General features: G+C 40.4%; 1 protein-coding gene and 1 pseudogene across 9 annotated transcripts in view; both read right to left on the bottom strand.

Annotated features, from left to right (window-relative positions):
• Positions 1 to 21182, bottom strand: part of UBE2K (ubiquitin conjugating enzyme E2 K) — an 84657-nt gene that overhangs the window by 21189 nt on the left and 42286 nt on the right. For 6 of the 9 annotated variants that reach the window (NM_005339.5, NM_001111112.2, NM_001312648.2 and 3 more), the window contains 2 exons: positions 15794 to 15852; positions 5865 to 5947 (listed from right to left, as the gene is read on the bottom strand). In NM_005339.5, coding sequence (NP_005330.1) covers positions 5865 to 5947; positions 15794 to 15852 — 142 coding nt within the window. The remainder of the gene's footprint in view (positions 1 to 5864; positions 5948 to 15793; positions 15853 to 21182) is intronic. The other 3 variants (NM_001111113.2, XM_047450156.1, NM_001312646.2) reach the window with 2 other exon arrangements.
• On the bottom strand, positions 306 to 604 carry RN7SL558P (RNA, 7SL, cytoplasmic 558, pseudogene; annotated as a pseudogene).

The raw sequence follows: 21182 nt of genomic DNA, 5'->3' as shown, positions 1-21182 counted from the left end.
TTTATAATTTAGAAGATAATATGAATAAATCAGTACCTCATAAATCTATGTCCGGTAAATAAATTTTGCTCAAGTCTCAAATCAGTAAGACATAGTTAATGTGGCTATGTAAATATTCATATATTCATTCATAAGGACTCAGGCCTTACTATGTAGAATAATCATGTGAATTGTTCATACCGTTGACTAACTTTTCTGTTAAGGATCTTCCAACAGATCATCAATAATTAAACCACGTTCATTCAAAACACTAAATGCTACTTAAAGAGGATGGCAGCTTTTATACTAAAGATTTTATTTTTTAAAGAGATTGGGTTTCACTATGTTGTCAAGGCTGGGATGCAGTGGCTATTCACAGGTGTTATCTCACTATTGACTAGCACAGGAGTTTTGACCTGCTCTGTTTCCAACCTTGTCTGGTTCACGTCTCCTTAGGCAATCTGGTGGTCCTCTGTTCCTAAGAGGTCACCATACTTATGCCCAACTTAATGTGGACACCTGACTGGCATAGCACACTTCAGCCCAGACTTGCTGGTCTTAAGCAATCCTCTTGCCTCAGCCTCCTGAGTAGCTGGGACTACAGGTGTGCACCATTGTACCCAGCTGCTATAAATTTTTTTGTTAAAGTTTAAGCAAAGTTAAGATACCATGCAGCTGGATGAATTTTTATATCTGTATATATCCATGTAACCACCGCCTGGATAAAAATAGAGTATTTTTAGCATTACAAAGCCTCACTTCTGCTCCTCCTACTCACAACTCCTGCCCACCCTCACCACTATCGTATTTTTTTATTTGTTTTAATTTTTTTTAATTTTAATTTTTATTTTTTGAGACGGAGTCTCGCTGTAGCTAATTTTTTGTATTTTTAGTAGAGACGGGGTTTCACCGTGTTAGCCAGGATGGTCTCAATCTCCTGACCTCATGATCCGCCCGCCTCGGCCTCCCAAAGTGCTGGGATTACAGGCGTGAGCCACTGCGCTGGGCTATCGTATTTTTTATCACCATAAATTCTGGTTCATCTTCAATTTCATAAAAATTGAACCATACAGTATGTATTCTTTTGTGTCTGGCTTTTGTCACTCAACATGACTGAGTCTCATCCATGTTGTTTGTGTCAATGATAGGCTCTTTTTTACTGTTTATGTAGTGCTCCAGTGTGTGATCACAATGTATCAATTTTCTTGTTGATGAGACATCTAAGTTATTTCCCGTTGGGGCTATTAATAAATCTGCCATAAATATTCTTTTATACATGTCTTTTAAAAAGTAGGCATAGACACTAATTTCTTTTAGATATATACCTAGGAATGAAGCTGATAGGGCATACTGAAGGTGTATGTTTAGCTTTGGTAGATATTACTGGCTTTAAGTGGTTAAACCACATTATTTGTTTTTTTTTTTTTTTCTGTTTTTTTTTTTTTTTTGTGACAGAGTCTCGCTCTGTCACCCAGGCTGGAGTGCAGTGGCGCGATGTCGGCTCACTGCAACCTCTGCCTCCCAGGTTCAAGAGATTCTCCTGTCTCAGCCCCACGAGTAGCTGGGATTACAGGTGCCCACCACCCACGCCTGGCTAATTTTTGTATTTTTAGTAGAGATGGGGTTTCACCATGTTGGCCAGGCTGGTCTTGAACTCCTGACCTCAAGCAATCCACCTACCTTGGCCTCCCAAAGTGTTGGGATAACAGGCATGAGCCACCGTGCCCTGCCTGGTTAAGCCACATTCTTACCAGCAATGCATGAGGTATTTGTGTTTACAGGCATGTAGTAGTTATCTTATTGTGATTTTCATTTGCATTTCCCTGATGAGTAATGATGCTGAGCATACCTTATCGACCAGGCAGATATTCTGTGCCTGTTTGTGTCTTTTAGAAGGGCAGCGTCACTGAGTGAAATTTTTATGTGTTGCCATTTTCTTCCCCAGGTAAGTAGACACCATTAGTCATAGTAAGTGTCAGTGGAAAACATTAGAAAATAGTTTCCACACAGCACAAGTTGTGGAATTAAGAAATAAACCAGGGGCCGGGCACAGTGGCTCACGCCTGTCATTGCAGCACTCTGGGAGGCCGAGGCCAGTGGATCACCTGAGGTCAGGAGTTTGAGACCAGCCTGGCCAACACGGTGGAACCCTGTCTCTACTAAAAATAGAAAAAAATTAGCTGGGCGTGGTGGCACATGCCTGTAATGTAATCCCAGATACTTAGGAGGCCGAGGCAGGAGAACTGCTTGAGCCCGGGAGGCGGAGGTTGCAGTGAGCAGAGATGGCACCATTGCACTCCAGCCTGGGTGACAGAGCGAGACTTTGCCTCAAAAAAAAATAATAATAATAAACAAATATACTAAAATAAGTTAAATATTAATAAAGGTATATCATCACCCCTAGATGCATTAATAAAAGACCAAGATTAACCAATTATTTTCTAGTATGCCTGCTGAAAATTATTTATGTAATTCATTTTTCCTATGATTAAGACTCTGTATTTTTCTCTATCAAATTCCAGTTCTGAAACCTAAACATCCACATTTAAATATGGATATGCACTAAATGTCAATTATACCTCAGTAAAGCTCTGGGAATAAAGTAATGACTTCATGAATATCTAGTCTCACCTATTTTATCTAATGTGTCTTTGGTATATTCTAATATTTCAATTGTACAGATAAAAAACAAGATTATTCACCTGCCTTAGGAAAAGGGAATAGTTGATGTAAAAAATGTTTTGTTCCTGCACATCATATTAGGAGAAAATGTTTTGGTATAAAAATTCAACTTCTCTCTCTATATATACACACCATAATCTTTCAACTAGCTATATAGGAAGATAATTACAAGTAATAGTACTGTTGGCTTAACTCTGGGCAAAAAGAGAAGTCAATGGGAAGTTTTCATCTGCAAACTTTTTCTTTCTTTTTTTTTTTTATTTTTGAGATGGGGTCTCACTCCGTCGCCCAGGCTAGAGTGCAATGGCATGATCTCTGCTAACTGCAACTTCCGCCTCCCAGGTTCAAGCGATTCTCCTGCCTCAGCCTCCCAAGTAGCTGGGATTACAGGTATGCACCACCATGCCCAGCTAATTTATTTATTTTTGGTAGAGATGGGGTTTCACCATGTTGGCCAGGCTGGTCTCAAACTTCTGACCTCAAGCGATCTGCCCACTTCCGCCTTCTAAAGCGTTGGAATTACAGGCATGAGCCACTGCACGTGGCGGCAAGCTTTGTTTTCAAAGTTGTCATTCTGGGTGCTGGGAATAGCCTGAGTAGGTAAAAGCCAGAAGCAGGGAGGCAGACTAATGCAATCATGCAGGCTAGAGGTAATCCGTTTGGAAAAGTGTGGTAGTAAAGCTGCTGTTAAGATGTTGGGAGGTTTTGCCAATAGATCTGCAGACAGGGCATGGGGTACCAGAGAAAGAAATGCCAAGGATCATGATGTGATTTTGGCCTGAGAAAATGCAAGGACGTATTTGCCAATAACTTAGTTGGGGAAGACTATAGAAGCAGGTTTCAGGTTAGGAGACTATCAGTTCAGTTTATGTTTGATATGTTCGTTATATAGTCAAGTAAAGATGATAAGCAGGCAGCAGGATAGGAGTCTCAAGTTCAGGGAAGATAATTTGTGAGTTTGCAGTATGTAAAGGTGAAGTTATGATGAAATCAGATGAGCTTACCAAGGAAGTGAGTGCAGCTAGAAAGGAGCAGAAATCCAAGACTTATCCCTGAGGCATTCTAATACACAAAGATGCAAGGAACTGGTTAAGGAATCTGGGAGTGAGCATAGGAAAGGGAGAATAGAAAATCTAATGTCCTAGAAGCCAAGTGAAAACAGTACAATGTCTCTAATACTGCAAATATGTATTCATATCACTGAATCTTAGAGCTTTTAGAGGCCTTGGCGATAACCTAATGGATTAAAAACACTGACACTTAAGAAGTTCAATAAATTGGTAAAAGTCACAAATCAAAAGAGTAACAGAGAAGATAAAAAGTAAGTCTATTCCACACTGCTTTATGTTAGAAAGTCTTGATCTATATGGAATATAGAATATATTGAAATACAGATCAAGAAACCAGATCCCAAGAGATGATCTACTGAGGGACAGGATTTACTCAGATATACTACTGGAATAGAAAAAAAAAACAAAACAAAACCTGTAACTCTAGTCTGTTCATCCAGTTACTAAGTAAACCACTGGCCATACACTAAATACTGTCATTCCTATTTGATTTTCTTTCAGGTACCTTTTTTTCTCCCCTTTCTTAACAAATCAATCACATAGCTTAGGCCGGGTGTGGTGGCTCATGCCTGTAATCCCAACACTTTGGGAGGCTGAGGCAGGTGGATCACCTGAGCTCAGGAGTTTGAGACCAGCCTGGCCAACATGGTGAAACCTCATCTCTACTAAAAATACAAAAATTAGCTGGGCATGATGGCGCACGCCTGTAGTCCCAGCTACTCGGGAGGCTAAGGCAGGAGAATCGCTTGAACCCGGTAGGCAGAGGTTGCAGTGAGCCAAGATCGTGCCACTGCACTCCAGCCTGGGTGACAAGAGTGAAACTCTGTCTCAAAAAAAAAACAAAAAACAAAAAACAAAAAACAAAAAAAAAACACCCAAAAAAACATAGCTTAAAAATTCTAGTACCAAAAATAATATATAATCTTTAGAAGATTAGGCAGCCAGGCTGGGCCCATTAAACACAGTTTTGGCTCCAAGTCTTCTTACCAACTGCTGTTCTATTTTGTTCTGTTATACCTTCTCTTGTAAAAGAGTAAAATCAGAAGGAAAGGTCATAATAGACACTCACTTAATTGATTTTTTCTAGTTTTATGGTTTTCTCCCACTCCAATTACTTTTCATACCTTTGGTCTTAGTTTTTCCATCTATAAAATCATGTGCTAAATAATTAACTATCATCTTTATCATTGTCAGACTACACAAAGCTTCCAGCCTGGGCAACAGGAACCCTGTCTCTAAAAAAAATACAAACATTAGCCAGGTGTGGTGGTATGCGCCTGTATTCCCAGCTACTTGGGAGGCTGAGGTGGTAGGACTACTTGGGCTTTAGAGGTCAAGGCTGCAGTGAGCTGTGATTGCGCCACTGCACTCCAGCCTGGGCAACAGGGCAAGACCCTGTCTCAAAACAAACAAACAAAAACAAAAGCAAAGCTCTATTCTAAGGGAATTACATAAAGTAACTTATTTAATCCTCTGAGCTCTATGAAGTGGGTATCAACCCATTTTGCAGATGAGGACACTAAGGCACACAGACTTTAGGTAATTTGCTCATAACCATGCAGCTTGGTAAACTGGAGAGCCAAGATGTGAACCTGGTGGCTCCAGAGTAGGAACTCTTAAAACATTTAATGCTGTGCAGAGCAAATCAGACAAAAAAAGTGAAAGCACAATACCGCTATCCAAATGAAGACATCACCTACAAAGGTGCTCCTTGTTAGAATTCATAAACCAAAATCTTAACTGTGCTCAATTAACACAACCTGCAACAATTTTGTAACTTACATTCCATCTAAGGGGGATATGACTACTTCAATACTTACTTTCTACTTTTTTAGTCTTTCACAAATATCTTCTTAAGATAGCAAAGAATCAAATTTACCAAAATAACAAATGAAATCCAAGGCTTTTCAAAGTGTAAAGCTAGCATCTAACATTATCTAACAAGTTTCTATTTAAATATGGATTGTGATCTCAATTATAATGCATTTTCAGTTATGCACTTAAGAGACTTTTAAAGTTACTGCCCAAACAAGATAAAGTATAATATATGTTTTGAGGCAATTACACATTTAACACTCTTACAGTCTTGGTATTCATATGAGAAGGAGAGAAGGTGAATTCAAAATCTCTTACCATTGATCTTTCAGGATATCCAAACAAATAGCCCCTGTGACGGAACTAATATTAGGATGCCATATTTTAGTGATAAACCGGACCTAGAATATAAAGCACACTTGAGTTTTTCAGTAACAGAAATAAAACAGTTTAAGTAGAACTACAAGAAAATGAAATCTTCAAACTAAAAAAAGAAAGGTCCCTATATCTATTACATCATTTTGCCTAGGTGAAAGAAGGGGTGTAGAAGACAAAGGATCCAGTAAGCTGAATGTTGTCACTAACATATGTTGTTTTCAAACTCTTTAATAAATGTTCCGCCTTTAAACAAACCCAACAATTACTAGGAGCTTACAATTTACCTAGAATAATGGTAGATGCTATGAGAATACAACAGAGAATAAAATCCATTTTGGTAAATAAAATAGTACATAAAATAAAAACATAAATAGTAAATGGCACTTTTCTTCATGTGAGGCAGGGTGCAGAATAGGTTTGAGGAAAAAAGTAAGTAAAACCAGTGAATGGAAGCACAAATAGTAAGTGGCTGTGCTTCTCTTAATTTTTCTGTAGAATTTTTTCTCAAATTCTTATTATTGAAATGCCTATTATGATGTAGCAAACACTGAGGAGATACTAAGGCTTAGAGTTTAAGAAATCTAATTAAATAGCTAAACAGAGCACAATGTAAACTCCCACAATCTGATTCCAGATTCTGAGTCCAATCATCTCATTATTTGTCTCATTATGGAAGAATAACAAACCAACAAGTGAAAATGCTAAAACTCTAGGGGAACACCATGAAATTAAAGAGTTCATCAGCTCTTACTCATGAACTTTTGGAGGATCTTGTATTCCTATCTCTGACACATATGACAATGACCAGCTGAGCCCATATTCTTTGACACTTAGTAGATTAATTACTATGTGCCAATTAATGTTCTAAGAACTTCACAAAAATTAGCACTCACACACTGTAATCTCAACATTTTGGGAGGCTGAGGCGGGAGGATCACTTTAGCCCAAGAGTTTGAGACCAGCCTGGGCAACATAGTGAGACCATGTCTCTACAAATAAAAAAATTAGCTGGGCATGGTGGCACACACCTGTACTCCCAGCTACTAGGGAGCTGAGGCATGAGGATTACTTGAATCTGAAAGGTTGAGCTGCAGCAAGCCGTGATCGTGCCACTGTACTACAGCCTGGGCAACAGAACACGACCAACTGGAAAAAAACGGACTCTTTAATATATGCTCCTAAGCTATTTATGGAAAGAAGCTAAGAGTTTCCACTTCTCTCTTCTCTTTGTGACTTCTTGATTTGTTTACACTACCTATTTCTACTTCCTTACCTCCTGCTAACTCATATTCAATCTAAAAAGGCACTTTAATTCGCCAATGACTTTAAAATACCGAAAATAAGATACTTTCCATTCCTTCATTCTTGCTATGCTTGATTCTTTTCAGTCTTAATAATCTTACTACTTTCAAAGATACCTACTTCTCTCCATCCACCTTCTCATTAAAGGAGACAATCATTCATCATCTAGGTTACTACACAGTCTCCTGACTTTACTGCCTTCCCTTCTGTTCCCTCCAATTTATTTTCCGCACCAAAACTAAAGAGAGCCCTTTAAAACAAATCTGATTTGCATCACTATGCTGCTTTAAGGACCATTAATGACCTCTCATTCCCTTCATGTGGGCCCACTCTCTCTCTCTTTTTTTTTGAGAAGGAGTCTCGCGCTGTCGCTCAGGCTGGAGTCTGGAGTGCAGTGGCGCGATCTTGGAGCGCCAACATGGCAAGATGGGGTTTCGCCATGTTGGCCAGGCTGGTCTCAAACTCCTGACCTCAGGTGATCCACCCGCCTCGGCCTCCCTAAGTGCTGGGATTAGAGGCATGGAGCCATCATGCCCGGCCAAGCCCACACTCTTAACCTGGCCTTAGACTACTCCTGAAATCTCAATTTTTACCTCTATCCCACACTCCACTCTCCTGCTCAAAAAGTCATATTAAACTTTTCCCCTGTTCTGGGCCTTCATACATATTTGTTTTCTCAATAACATACCTCTGTGCCCTCTTCTCCCAACTAATTCCTACTCTTCAAGTTTCACTTTCCATATCACTTCTTCCTGATCTATTCCACACACCTGCAGTTTCCTTTGTCATAGTATATTAATTACACTTCTGTGATTTCTGCCTTGTTTGTCCGGTCTTCCCTAAAAGACACTGTATCCATCCTACTTAATAAAGCATCTCCAGATGTAAGCGACTCACATGGAATGAATGTGCACTTAATATTACGGCAAAAATGTTATTATAAGGCTAAATATCAAATACAATGCAAGCTAAGTAAGACAGTAATATAGGGCTTATGTACAACAAACATTTCTCCCTTTTTTCCCCCCCAGAGAAGGTCTCACTGCTGTGGCTCACTGCAACCTCAACTTCCCAGACTCAGGTGATCCATCTTAAAAGTAGCTGTGACTATAGGCACACACCACCACACCCAGCCAATTCTTTTATTTCTAATAGTGTTGGGGGTTTCACCATATTACCCAGGCTGGTCTTGAACTCCTGGGCTTAAGAGATCCACCCGACATAGGCTCCCAAAGTACTAGGATTATAGGCGTGAGCCACTGAGCCCACATCAAACATTGCTTTGTAAGAGATATAACCACACATTTCACATCTTAATACAGGTTGAGTATTTCTTTTTCTTTCTTTCTGTTTTTTGGAGACAGGGTCTCACTCCCGTTGCCCAGGCTGGAGTGGAGTGGTGCGATCATGGCTCACTGCAGTCCTAACCTTCTGGGCTCAGGCAATCCTCCCCTCTCGGCCTCCCAAACTGCTGGGATTACAGGCATGAGTGGGCCACAGTGCTTGGCCCATGCTGAGTATTTCTTATCTGAAAATCTGAAATCCAAAATGCTCCAACGAGCATTTTCTTTGAGTGACATGTAAACACTCAAAAAGTTTCAGATTTTGGAGCATTTCAAATCTCGGATTTTTGAATTTTGAATAATCAACCTCTATTTACTATTGAGTTCAATTCATAAACAAGCATATGCCATAATGTCAGAACTCAAGGAATTCACAGCATTTTATAACTTTAAAATGGTGGCTGGGCGCAGTGGCTCATGCCTGTAATCCCAGCACTTTGGGAGGGCGAGGCAGGTGGATCACAAGGTCAGGAGATTGAGACCATCCTGGCTAACACGGTGAAACCCCGTCTCTACTAAAAATACAAAAAATTAGCCGGGCGCGGTGGCGGGCGCCTGTAGTCCCAGCTACTCGGGAGGCTGAGGCAGGAGAATGGCGTGAACCTGGGAAGCGGAGCTTGCAGTGAGCCGAGATTGTGCCACTGCACTCCAGCCTGGGCGACAGAGCCAGACGCCGTCTCAAAAAAAAAAAAAAAAAAAGAAAAAAAAAGAAAAAAAAAAAAATTAGCCAGGCGTGATGGCGGGCGCCTGTAGTCCCAGCTACTGCAGTCCCAACTACTCGGATGGCTGAGGCAGGAGAATGGCGTAAAGGGAGATGGAGCTTGCAGTGAGCTGAGATCGTGCCACTGCACTCCAGCCTGGGGGACAGAGCGAGACTCCGTCTCAAAAACAAAACAAAACAAACACATACAAAAAACCCCATGTGGTTTAGTATTTTCAACAAGATTAGAAAATATAATTTTAAAACACTATTGAAGATGTCAGAAGGATTACGGTTCAGTCAAGTGAGCTGAAGATATGTGAAGTGTATTTTGCCTTTTGTTTTAATCTTATTTTTTTACTTTTATTGAGACAGAGTCTCACTTGGTTGCCTGGGCTGGAGTGCGGTGGTGCGATCTCGGTTCACTGCAACCTCTGTCTCCCGGGCCGAAGTGACTCTCCCGCCTCAGTCTCCCCAGTAGCTGGGACTACGTGTGTGCGCCACCACACCCGACTAATTTTTCTATTTTTTAGTAGTGACAGGGTTTCACCATGTTGGCCAGGCTGGTCTGGAATTCCCAGTGATCCGCCCGCCTCAGCCTCCCAAAATGCTAGGATTACAGGCATGAGCCACTGCGCGTGGCCTTTTTTATTTATTTTTGAGACAGGGTCTTACTCTGTCACCTTGGCTGAAGTGCAGTGGCGCAATCTCGGCTCACTGCATCCTCGAGCTCCTGAGCTCAATTCTTCTGCCTCAGCCTCCTGAGTAGTTGGGACTACAGGCGTGCGCCATCACTCCTGGCTAATTTTCATATTTTTTGTGGACACAAGAACAGGGTTTCACCATGTTGCTTAGGCTTTTCTCGAACTCTTGGGCTCAAGTGATCCACCCACCTCAGCCTCCCACAGTGCTAGGATTACAGGTGTGAGCAAAAAGCAGGATATGGCGTTCAGCACTGCTTTTTAAAGAAGGGTCTTCTATACAGAATTCTCTGTAGATACATAGGAAAAAAGCCAAGACCCAATTAAATTACTGAACTAATTCTTACTTTGTACTATAATCTATAGTTAGAAATAAATAATTTTGAATTTGGGCTGGGAATGGTGGCTCATGTCTATAATCCTAGCAGTTTGGGAAGCCAAGGCAGGTGGGCTGCTTAAGCTCAGGAGTTCGAGACCAGCCTGGGCAACATGGTGAGACCCCGTCCCTATTTGAAAAAAAAAAACAAGAAGAAAAGAAAAAAGAATTTTGAATTTGCAGATGATCCAATAAAGAATTTAATCTTCAGGGGCCAGGCGTGGTGGCTCATACCTGTAATCCCAATACTTCAGGAGGCTGAGGTGGGTGAAATCACTTGGACCCAGGAGTTCGAGAGCAGCCTGGGCAACAAGGTGAAACCCCATCTCTACAAAATACAAAAAAATTAGTCAGGCATGGTGGGGTATGCCTGTAGTCCAAGCTACTCGAAGGCTGAGGTGAGAGGATCGCTTGAGCCCAGGAGGCAGAGGTTGCAGTGAGCCATGATCATGCCACTGTACTCCAGCCTGGGCAACACAGCAAGACCCTGTCTCAAAAAATAAAATAAAATAAAAATTTTGTAAAAAAAAAAAAAAAGAATTTAATCTTCAAGATTATCTCCGTGGCCCAGCACAGTGAATCAAGCACGTAATCTCAACAATTTGGGAGGCCAAGGTGGGAAGACTGTTTGAGGCTATGAGTTTGAGACCAGCCTGGGCAATGTAGCAAGACCCTGTATCTATTAAGAATATAATAATAATGTCTCCTTATTTTTATATACAAAACTAGTAGTAGCGTTGTCTGGGAACTTCAGAACACTCACTAGCTTTGGGAAGCACTCAATGAATAAAAACGGAAATCTGAACACTATGTAACAACAGATTCTCAATGTTCCCAGACAGAAATGAAGGAAACTATTCTTAAATTATCAATATTGGCATAGCATCAACGGTTCTTATCTCTTCCTACAGGATGCACTGTAAATTTCATTCACTCTTTAGTTTAACACTTCAGCTCCCACTTCATTGTAGATGTGAGTTCATATTTCCATCTGTAACTTCCAGTTTTAAGACCTGAAGATATGTGAAGTGTGTTTCTTGCTTTTTTTTGTTTTTGTTTTTTTTGAGATGGAGTCTCACTCTGTCGTCCAGGCTGGAGTGCAGTGGTGCGATCTTAGCTTACTGCAACCTCCGCCTCTTGGGTTCAAGCGATTCTCCTGCCTCAGCCTTCTGAGTAGCTGGGATTACAGGCACGTGCCACTACACCTGGCTAATTATTTTTAGTAGAGATGGGGTTTCACCATGTCGGCCAGGCTAGTCTTGAACTCCTGACCTCTGGTGATCCACCCACCTCGGCCTCCCAGAGTCCTGGGATTACAGGCGTGAGCCACCGCGCCTGGCCGTATCTTATTTTTATTTATTTTTGAGACAGGGTCTCAAAGCATATTATATTATTAAGCCAGCTTTAACTCCCTTATCATACAAAAGAAAATGCTATTTTGAATATGCATGTACAGATGAGCATACGCTCATTAAAGATTATTAGCATTGGTATGTATATACAACTTAACATGTAAAAAGTATGATGATAACACCAAAGAAAAAGAGCAAAATTCACAACTTAATTTCTTTTTTTTTTTGAGACAGAGTCTTACTCTCTTGTCCAGGCTGCAGTGCAGTGGCATGATCTCGGCTCACTGCAACCTCTGCCTGCCAGGTTCAAGCAATTCTTGTGCCTTAGCCTCCTGAGTAGCTGAGACTACAGGCGCATGCCACCATACCAGACTAGTATTTTTTGTTTTGTTTTGTTTAGTTTTTGGCATTTTTAGTAGAGACAGGTTTTTGCCATTTGGTCATGAACTTCTGAGCTCAAGCCATCTGCCTGCCCCCTGCCTCCCTAGGTGCTGGGATTACAGGCGAGCAAACCACCGCATCCAGCCTGCTCTATTCAAGCAGGATACACCACTGGACTATATTTTTACTAATGATTTTTTCACTAACACAATATACATTGCAATTTAATGCTAGAAATCATATTGGTTGTATGCATTTAATCAAATTCCTTCTACACTATTATCACCTGATTCAAAGATATATTTTCTCTGTTTTAGAAGTAAGCCTACTCTTCCGGTCAATAATTTATTGCATAATAATAAACACAAAACATTCTGTGACCATGGTAAGACAAATGTGAATTTTTCATCTTTTCTCAAATTTTAGCTGCACAGTAGTAATGAGAATATAACCAGCTACCTTGATAATTTTACCTCATAAGACTTAAAATTAAGCCTGAGTCCAAACACATGTGAACACACAATTCAGCAAGAAATTTACATAAATATTCCCCATTCTTCTCATTTTATTTACCAATCAGTAAAAATTCAAATCAACGTAGTATACATCTAGAACATATTTATCATGTTCATTAACATTTACTGCAAGAGCGTAATGCCACAAGTAGGGTATATAACATTTTCTTGTTTGTTCTTTATTTTTTTTTGTTATTTAAAAAAATTTTATTTCATATATACCGTATTTAAAGAACACTAAACTGCAACTATGACTAATTGGTTGAGGTCACAGTAATACAAATTGGGGTTGAACCTAAGAAGATGTTTCTAAATGTCAAAGCTACCTCCAAACGGAACAGCTAGAATTAGAGATGTAGAGGCTTTTCTTTTTCTTTTTTTTTTTTTTTGGGACTAGAGACAGGGCCTTGCTATGTTGTCCAGGCTGAACTCAAACTCCCGAGCTCAAACGCTTCTCCTGCCTTGACTTCCTAAAGTGCTGGGATTATAGGCGTGAGCCACCATGCCTGGCCAGGTAACAGTGGCTTCAATAGCAAGATGAGGTAGTAGCAAAAACATCAGACATACTTCAGTTATTATGTTTTGAGTCTATTTTTCTCGCTTTAATAAAACAAGGGAGTGGATGTGGTGGTTCACGCCTGTAATCCCAGCACTTTGGGAGGCCAAGGTGGAGGGATCACTTGACCCCAGGAGTTAAAGGCTGCACTAAGCTATGACTGTGCATGCCACTAAACTCCAGACTGAGCAACAGAGTAAGACCCTGTCTCTAAAAAAAAGTGGGGATGAGGTGGGAGAGATTTAATAAAATATTTATTTCAAAAATTAAATGAAGTTACAGGTTGAACTGCCTAAAACAGAGCCACAACTATGCAATTACTTTGAAGCTATTATACACTATAAAGGCTACACCTTTACTGAGACATAATTCACCCACTTAATGTGTATGACTTCCTTTTCTTTTCTTTTTTTCAGATGGAGTCAGTAGTTCAAGACCAGCCTGGCCAACATGGTGAAATGCCATCTCTACTAAAAATACAAAAATTAGCTGGGCTTGGTGGCGGGTGCCTGTAATCCCAGCTACTCAGGAGGCTGAGGCAGGAGAATTGCTTGAACCCAGGAGACAGAGGTTGCAGTGAGCCGAGACCGCGCCACTGTACTCCAGCCTGGGCGGCAGAGCGAGACTCCATCTCAAAAAAAAAAAAAAGAAAACAACAACAACAACAAAATTAGCCGGGCGAGGTAGCAGACGCCTGTAGTCCCAGCTACTTGGGAGGCTGAGGCAGTAGAATGGCGTGAACCCAGGAGGCAGAGCTTGCAGTGAGCTGAGATTGTGCCACTGCACTCCTGCCTGGGAGACAGAGCAAGACTCCATCTCAAAAAAACAAAAAACAAACAAACAAAATCCAAATATCCATTAACAGCTGAATAAGAAAACAAAATATGGTCTATACTTATAATGGAGTATTATTCAGCCTTAAAAACAAAGAAATTCTGACACATGCTTTAACATGAATGAACCTTGATGACATTATGCTAGGTGATATAAGCCAGACACAAAATGACATTTTATGATTCCACTTACATGAGGTTTCTGAATTAATCAAACTCGGAGAAACAGAAACAGTGGTTACCAGAAGCTGGGAGCGGGGAATAATGGGGAGTTATTGCTTAATGGGTACGAAGTTTCAGTTTGGGAAGGTGAGAAAGTTCTACAGACAGATAATGGTAAAGGTTAAACAACAAGGTAAATACACTGCCACTGAACTGCACACATAAAAATGATTACAATGGTAAATTTTATGTCATGCATATTTTATCACAATAAAAAAATCGACCAGACTTATCAGAAAATAGATGTACATAAACAATAGACTAATAGGCAGCCCATAATGCTAAGTGAGCCAAAATCACCCTGGAACTTCCATTATCATATCTATTCTTAAACTGGAACAACCAATAGGTTGAATGAACAAATTCTAGAACATTCTGAGTGACTGCTATCATATGCCCAAGGGACACTATACTATTGGGAATTACTGATAATATATAGGTGTAAAAGACCTATATGACTCAGGAGCATAAAAGCTAGAGAAAGATACATATCCAAAATAATACATGAGTTGGAACTATATTTGTGTTGCCACTATATAAATTGTATAAAATGCTACTGAGAGAGGAGAGGGAGAAACATTTGATGAACTCAGCTTAATGAAGAAAGTGATACTCGGGCCTCATAGAAAACTAGAATTTTAAATAATAGGGACAAAGATTTAAGTGAAACTGATAGAAAGCTGTGGAAGAATAAGCATCACCTACAAATAAACAATCTAAGATGGAAAATGAGACCCACATTGTGGGTGGAAGTGGTAGAAGATTAGAGTGGGAAACAAGACTGGGGTCAGGTTCTAGGTTTCAAGTGCCAAGCCATGGAGTTTAGACTTTATTCAGGGAAAGAAAAGCAGCATGATCAAAACTGAACTCTAGGAAGATTTCTAGACCAACAGTGCAGAGAATGAGTAGAAATGGAAAAGATGGAAGGGTGATTAAATAATAGACAAAACAGGGAATAAAGTTGAATGCCTAAAGTGCTGATGACAGTAAAAGCAGAGACATAAAGAAAGTGGTTCAATCCAAAAATAAGTTTAGGTTGGGTCCCCCTGTTATACATGATCTTAGGGTATTCCATACTCCCTTTCAACATTTATCACAGTTGCAATTCCATGCTCAGTTTTTTTTCCCCACTATAATGTGAGCTCTATGAAAGCAGGAACAGTATAAGTCTTAGTTACTGCTATAGTTCTTGGCACAAAGTACTCAAATAATGACTGAATGTAGAAGGTACTCTCCTAAAACACATACTTCTTTGAGTCAAGTAAGAACCTCTGTCTATGTGTAAAAGGGCTCTCTAAATTTGGGAACACTGCCACGTATTTCTAGATCTAGTATATGAGCCATTGTCAGATGTACATCCTATTCCAGTTTTGAGCCATTACTGGCTGCCTTTGGGTGAGTTTGCTTTTCATTCTAATTTCAGAAGCCAGCCACCTGCCATTATCTAAAATCCTGTCCACATCAAGTTTACACAGTAAGCAATTCATAAAGCTGTGACTTTAATAAGCCCTAAAATATATATTAATAAAATGAGGTCAGAAATATAAAATATTTTGTAACTTCATGCACAAAAATAGGCTTACAATACCTTAGGGGGATTAAATGGGTATGTTTCTGGTATTTTTATCTCTAGTTGGTATCTTCCTCCTAAAAAAATGGGGAAAACAAAGTTAAGAATGCTGCTCAATTCAAATATATAAGACAAATATACTGATGAGCTTTTCAGAGCAGCTATTTTATATTCAATTATAAAAATTCATTTTAAAGTTGAAATCCAGAAAGAAAGTAATCAAAAGCACTAGTTTTTAATTTAAAGGTTGTTTAAAGCATACAGAATATCCATTTCATACAACTGTATTAGTTTATCAGTGAGTAACAAGGCCAGAGATAAATACATTTAATCCAGACAATGCAATGCCAACATTTCATCAGGACAATTAACTATTGGAGTTTTAATCTCCACTGTGTCCTCTAATCCATCCTGTTAAGAATTGCTAAATAACAACAACAACAAAAGGGTCAGAAAAAAAAAAGAAGGCAAGGAGGTATAAAAGTACAGATGATACAAAGGACAGAGATTATGCCATAAACAAAATTCTACTTCTAGCTGGTTCTCGCAAATGAAATAAGGTCCCAATCTTTTCATTTGTGCCCTAAATTAAATGTCAATACTTATTTGTTAATATTTGTGCAATTAAACTGCAATTACTTTTGCACTAGCCTAATAAAAACAAGCTGGGTCCATGGCTAATGCCTTGTAATCCCAACACTTTGGGAGGCCGAGGTGGGAGGACTGCTTAAAGCTAGGCCAGGAGTTTGAGTAGAGCCTGCTCAATATAGCAAGTCCTTGTCTCTATTTTAATATAAAAAACTTTAAATATATTTTTTATTTTTTAAGCAAAATTCAACAAGAGAGATAGACATAAAGACAAACTATTCCTTCATTTATTTATTTATTTATTTATTTTATTTAATTTATTTTTTTTTTTTTTGAGACAGAGTCTCGCTCTGTTGCCCAGGCCGGAGTGCAGTGGCGTGATCTCGGCTCACTTCAAGCTCCACCTCCCGGGTTCACGCCATTCTCCTGCCTCAGCCTCCCAAGTAGCTGAGACTACAGGCGCCCATCACCACGCCTGGCTAATTTTTTTGTGTTTTTAGTACAGACAGGGTTTCACCATGTTAGCCAGGATGGTCTCGATCTCCTGACCTCGTGATCCACCTGCCTCAACCTCCCAAAGTGCTGGGATCACAGGCGTGAGCCACTGTGCCCAGCCCAAATTATTCCTTTAAATGGGTATATAAAATGCAAAATTTTACCAAGGAGCTTTTCTAACCAGTAATATACAAACAGAAGGCAACTTTTTGTTTCGTTTTGAAGTTATCTTGAGCAACTAGCAGCTATACAGCATTTTTAAAAAGCTTATCTAGGCTCGGCGCGGTGGCTCATGCCTGTAATACCAGCACTTTGGGAGGCTGAGGCAGGTGGATCACGAGGTCAGGAGATCGAGACCATCCTGGCTAACATGGTGAAACCCCGTCTCTACTAAAAACACAAAAAATTAGCTGGGCATGGTGGCGGACGCCTGTAGCCCCAGCTACTCAGGAGGCTGAGGCAGAAGAATGGCGTGAACCTGGGAGGCGGAGCTTGCAGTGAGCCCAGATTGTGCCACTTCACAATCTAGCTTCTCACAACTGGGGTACTCAAGGAAAGGATAACTGCCTCTTAAGAAACTCTGGGCTGCGTGCAATGGCTCATGCCTGTAATCCCAGCACTTTGGGAGGCTGAGGTGGGCAGATCACTTGACGCCAGAAGTTCAAGACTAGCCTGGCAAACATGGCGAAACCCCACCTCTACCTAAAATACAAAAATTAGCCGGGTATTGTGGCATGTGCCTACGATCCCAGCTACTCAGGAGGTTGAGGCACAAGAATCGCTTGAACCCAGGAGGTGGATATTGCAATGAGCCAAGTTCGCACCACTGCACTCCAGCCTACGTGACAGAGCAAGAATCTATCTCAAATAAACAGAAAAGAGAAAAAAGAAAAGAAAACACTGAAGGGGTAAGTCTTACACTGGATGAGAGGCTGGATTCAACTCTTAACTCTAAGATTAATAACATAGAATACTATTACAAAATATAGTAAATAAAACTGTTCTATTGAAATATTTATTTATAAGACTATGAGATTTTGTTTCAAGATAATCAAAGAATAAATTAGATCACAGATGGCCGTGAGCTGATAGTTATTAAAGCTGGCTGAAGAGGTTTCATTATATTCTTTTTTTTTTTTTTTGAGACGGAGTCTCGCTCTGTCGCCCAGGCTGGAGTGCAGTGGCGGGATCTCGGCTCACTGCAAGCTCCGCCTCCCGGGTTCACGCCATTCTCCTGCCTCAGCCTCCCGATTAGCTGGGACTACAGGCGCCCGTCACCACGCCCGACTAATTTTTTTGTATTTTTAGTAGAGACAGGGTTTCACCGTGTTAGCCAGGATGGTCTCAATCTCCTGACCTTGTGATCCACCCGCCTCGGCCTCCCAAAGAGCTGGGATTACAGGCATGAGCCACTGCGCCTGGCCTATTCTTCTTTTTTATATATCTGAAATTCCCTGTAATAAAAAGTAAAATAAAAAACTGTGTGCTAGGAACATTATCTTCAAAATTCTATACACTCAGCTCTTCAAAAAGTCAAACAAGAGACTTTCTTCAGTATATTCTAGACTCTCTCAAATGTATCTCCTCACTCCTCCATTGTTATGAATGGATGGATGACTATGAATCTGAGGAAAAAATAAAAGTGGTACTATTTTCTTCAAGCCCTTTTTGTTTCGAATCCTTCTCTTTTTTTTTTTTTCCTGAGACAGGGTCGTTCTGTTGCCCAGGCTGGAGTGCAGAGGCACAATCTTGGCTCACTGCAACCTCCACCTTTCAGGTTCCAGCAAATCTTGTGCCTCAGTCTCCTGAGTAACTGGGTTTACAGGTGCCCACCACAATGCCCAGCTAATTTTTGTATTTTTAGTAGAGATGAGGTTTCACCATGTTGGTCAGGCTGGGCTTGAACTTCTGGCCTCAGGTGATCCGCCTGCCTCAGCCTCCCAAAGTGCTGGGATTACAGGCATAAGCCATTGCGCCTGGCCTCTCTTCTGGCTACTTTTTATTTGAGGCGGATTCTCACTCTGTTGCCCAGACTGGAGTGCAATGGTGCGATCTCGGCTGACTGCAACCTTCACCTCCCAGTTCCAGCAATTCTCCTACCTCAGCCTCCTGGGTAGCTGGGACTACAGGTGCGCGCCACCATGCCTGGCTAATTTTTTAATTTTTTTTTAAGTAGAGACAGGGTCTCAGCATGCTGGCTAAGCTGGTCTCAAACTCCTGACCTCAAATAATCTACCCGCCTCAGCCTCCCAAAGTAATGGGATTACAGGCATGAGCCGTTATGCCTCGTGGCTAGTTCTTTTTAATAGAATCCCATAGTGATTCATGCATGAGTTGAACTAAATGCCTGAATCACAGAACATATAACAATAATGAAATTTAAAGAAAAGTAGTGGAAAGAAAAAAAAAACTGACAGGTAAGAGAAGGGTACCTGAAGAAATTTTGTGACAATAACTGTCTATACCCAGAATTAGAAATGCCAGCTTCAAATATAGTTATAATAAATTTGGCTTCAGCACTACATAGGCTTTTCTTTTTCCTTCCTAAGAATTTTTTTTTTCTGATTAAACTCCAGATTAAACCATCTCTATAACCCATCATACAAAGTTCTTTGTTAATGGCCAAAATAATCTCTTAGGAGCAGTGTGAGGGCCCACAGATATTATATAAATAATGCTGGACTCGAGAGTCTCTAAAATCTTATTTCTATCCCTTATGTTACACGCTCTGACAACTTTCAATATATGACCACTTAGCATTAATCATAGCATTATTTGATCAGGGTAATACAACTAAGGAATCCTTATGATAACTATATTATTCATATTATAATAGTTTTTACTTTAAAACATTAACTTCTTGAAGAATAGCTTTTAATATTAAAAATTAACAATCTTTAAATTTAACTTAACCCAAAGAGGAGATGAGGAAGGAATGAGAATTTTTAAGCTGTCAACAATGATTCCATAAACCTAAAAGAAATTTTAGGAAGAAAAGCTCAAGAACTAAACTGTTCCTTTGTCATTGAATTATTAAGGCAAAAGAAGTGAAGAAAATTGAGTTAAGTAACATCCACAATATGGCATTTTCCCGTGAGTACTCTACTTCACAATCTGATTCTTTAAATACTACAAAAACAGCTGCCTCATTACTTAATAATGGTTATAAATTGCTTAACATTCCACATGTAAACTTTTGCTTTAGCATTTAAGTTTAGATTTTTAAAAACTCAAAAAACTGCAACATCCTTGCAATAAACATTTAACCTATCGTCACATTTAAAAGAAAAAGCATTAAAGTTTATGTCCTTGAATGGTGTTTTCCTTAACAAAATGAACTTCTCTCAATAGTTTTATATAAAATAACAGAATTCAAGTTACTCTACCTCAAATATATAAAAAGCATATTAAATCTAATCTTATCAAAATATTCATTTAGCAGCAGCAGCAGCAGAAATAAGCACTTTTTTTTTTTGAGATGCAGTCTCCCTCTGTCGCCCAGGCTGGAGTGCAGTGGTGCGATCTCAGCTCACTGCAACCTCCGTCTCATGGATTCAAGGGATTCTCCTGCCTCAGCCTCCTGAGTAGCTGGGATTATAGGCGCACGCCACCACACCCAGCTAATTTTTGTATTTTTAGTAGAGATGGAGTTTCACCACGTTGGTCAGGCTGGTCTTGAACTCCTGACCTCGTGATCCACCTGCTTCAGCCTCCCAAAGTGCTGGGATTACAGGCATCAGCCACCCCGCCCAGGCAGATATAAGCACTTTTAAATGACCAAACTTTTGGTCCCATTCTCGGTATCGGGAAAAAGAAAAGAAAAAAAATGACCAAACTTGTTTCTAACCAATAAAGAATATATCTTTTTTTTTTTTTTTTTTTTGAGACGGAGTCTTGCTCTGTTGCCCAGGCTGGAGTGCAATGGCACAATCTCGGCTCACTGCAAGCTCCGCCTCCCGGGTTCACACCATTCTCCTGCCTCAGCCTCCCAAGTAGCTGGGACTACAGGCGCCCACCATCACGCCTGGCTAATTTTTTTGTATTTTTAGTAGAGACGGGGTTTCATCGTGTTAGCCAGGACGGTCTCGATCTCCTGACCTCGTGATCTGCCCGCCTCAGCCTCCCAAAGTGCTGGGATTACAGGTGTGAGCCACCGCACTCGGCCATAAGAATATATCTTAATGTATCTTTTTTTTTTTCTTTTTGGGACAGAGTCTCGCTGTCGCCCAGGCTGGAGTGCAGCAGCGCGATCTGGGCTCACTGAAGGCTCCGCCTCCCGGGGTTCACGCCATTCTCCTGCCTCAGCCTCCCGAGTAGCTGGGAC

The sequence above is a fragment of the Homo sapiens genome, chromosome 4 (assembly GCF_000001405.40).
Source record: "Homo sapiens chromosome 4, GRCh38.p14 Primary Assembly".
Classification (NCBI taxonomy): Eukaryota; Metazoa; Chordata; class Mammalia; order Primates; family Hominidae; genus Homo; species Homo sapiens.
The sequence above is the reverse complement of the archived record's forward strand: the minus strand, read 5'-3'. Positions and strand labels throughout refer to the sequence as shown.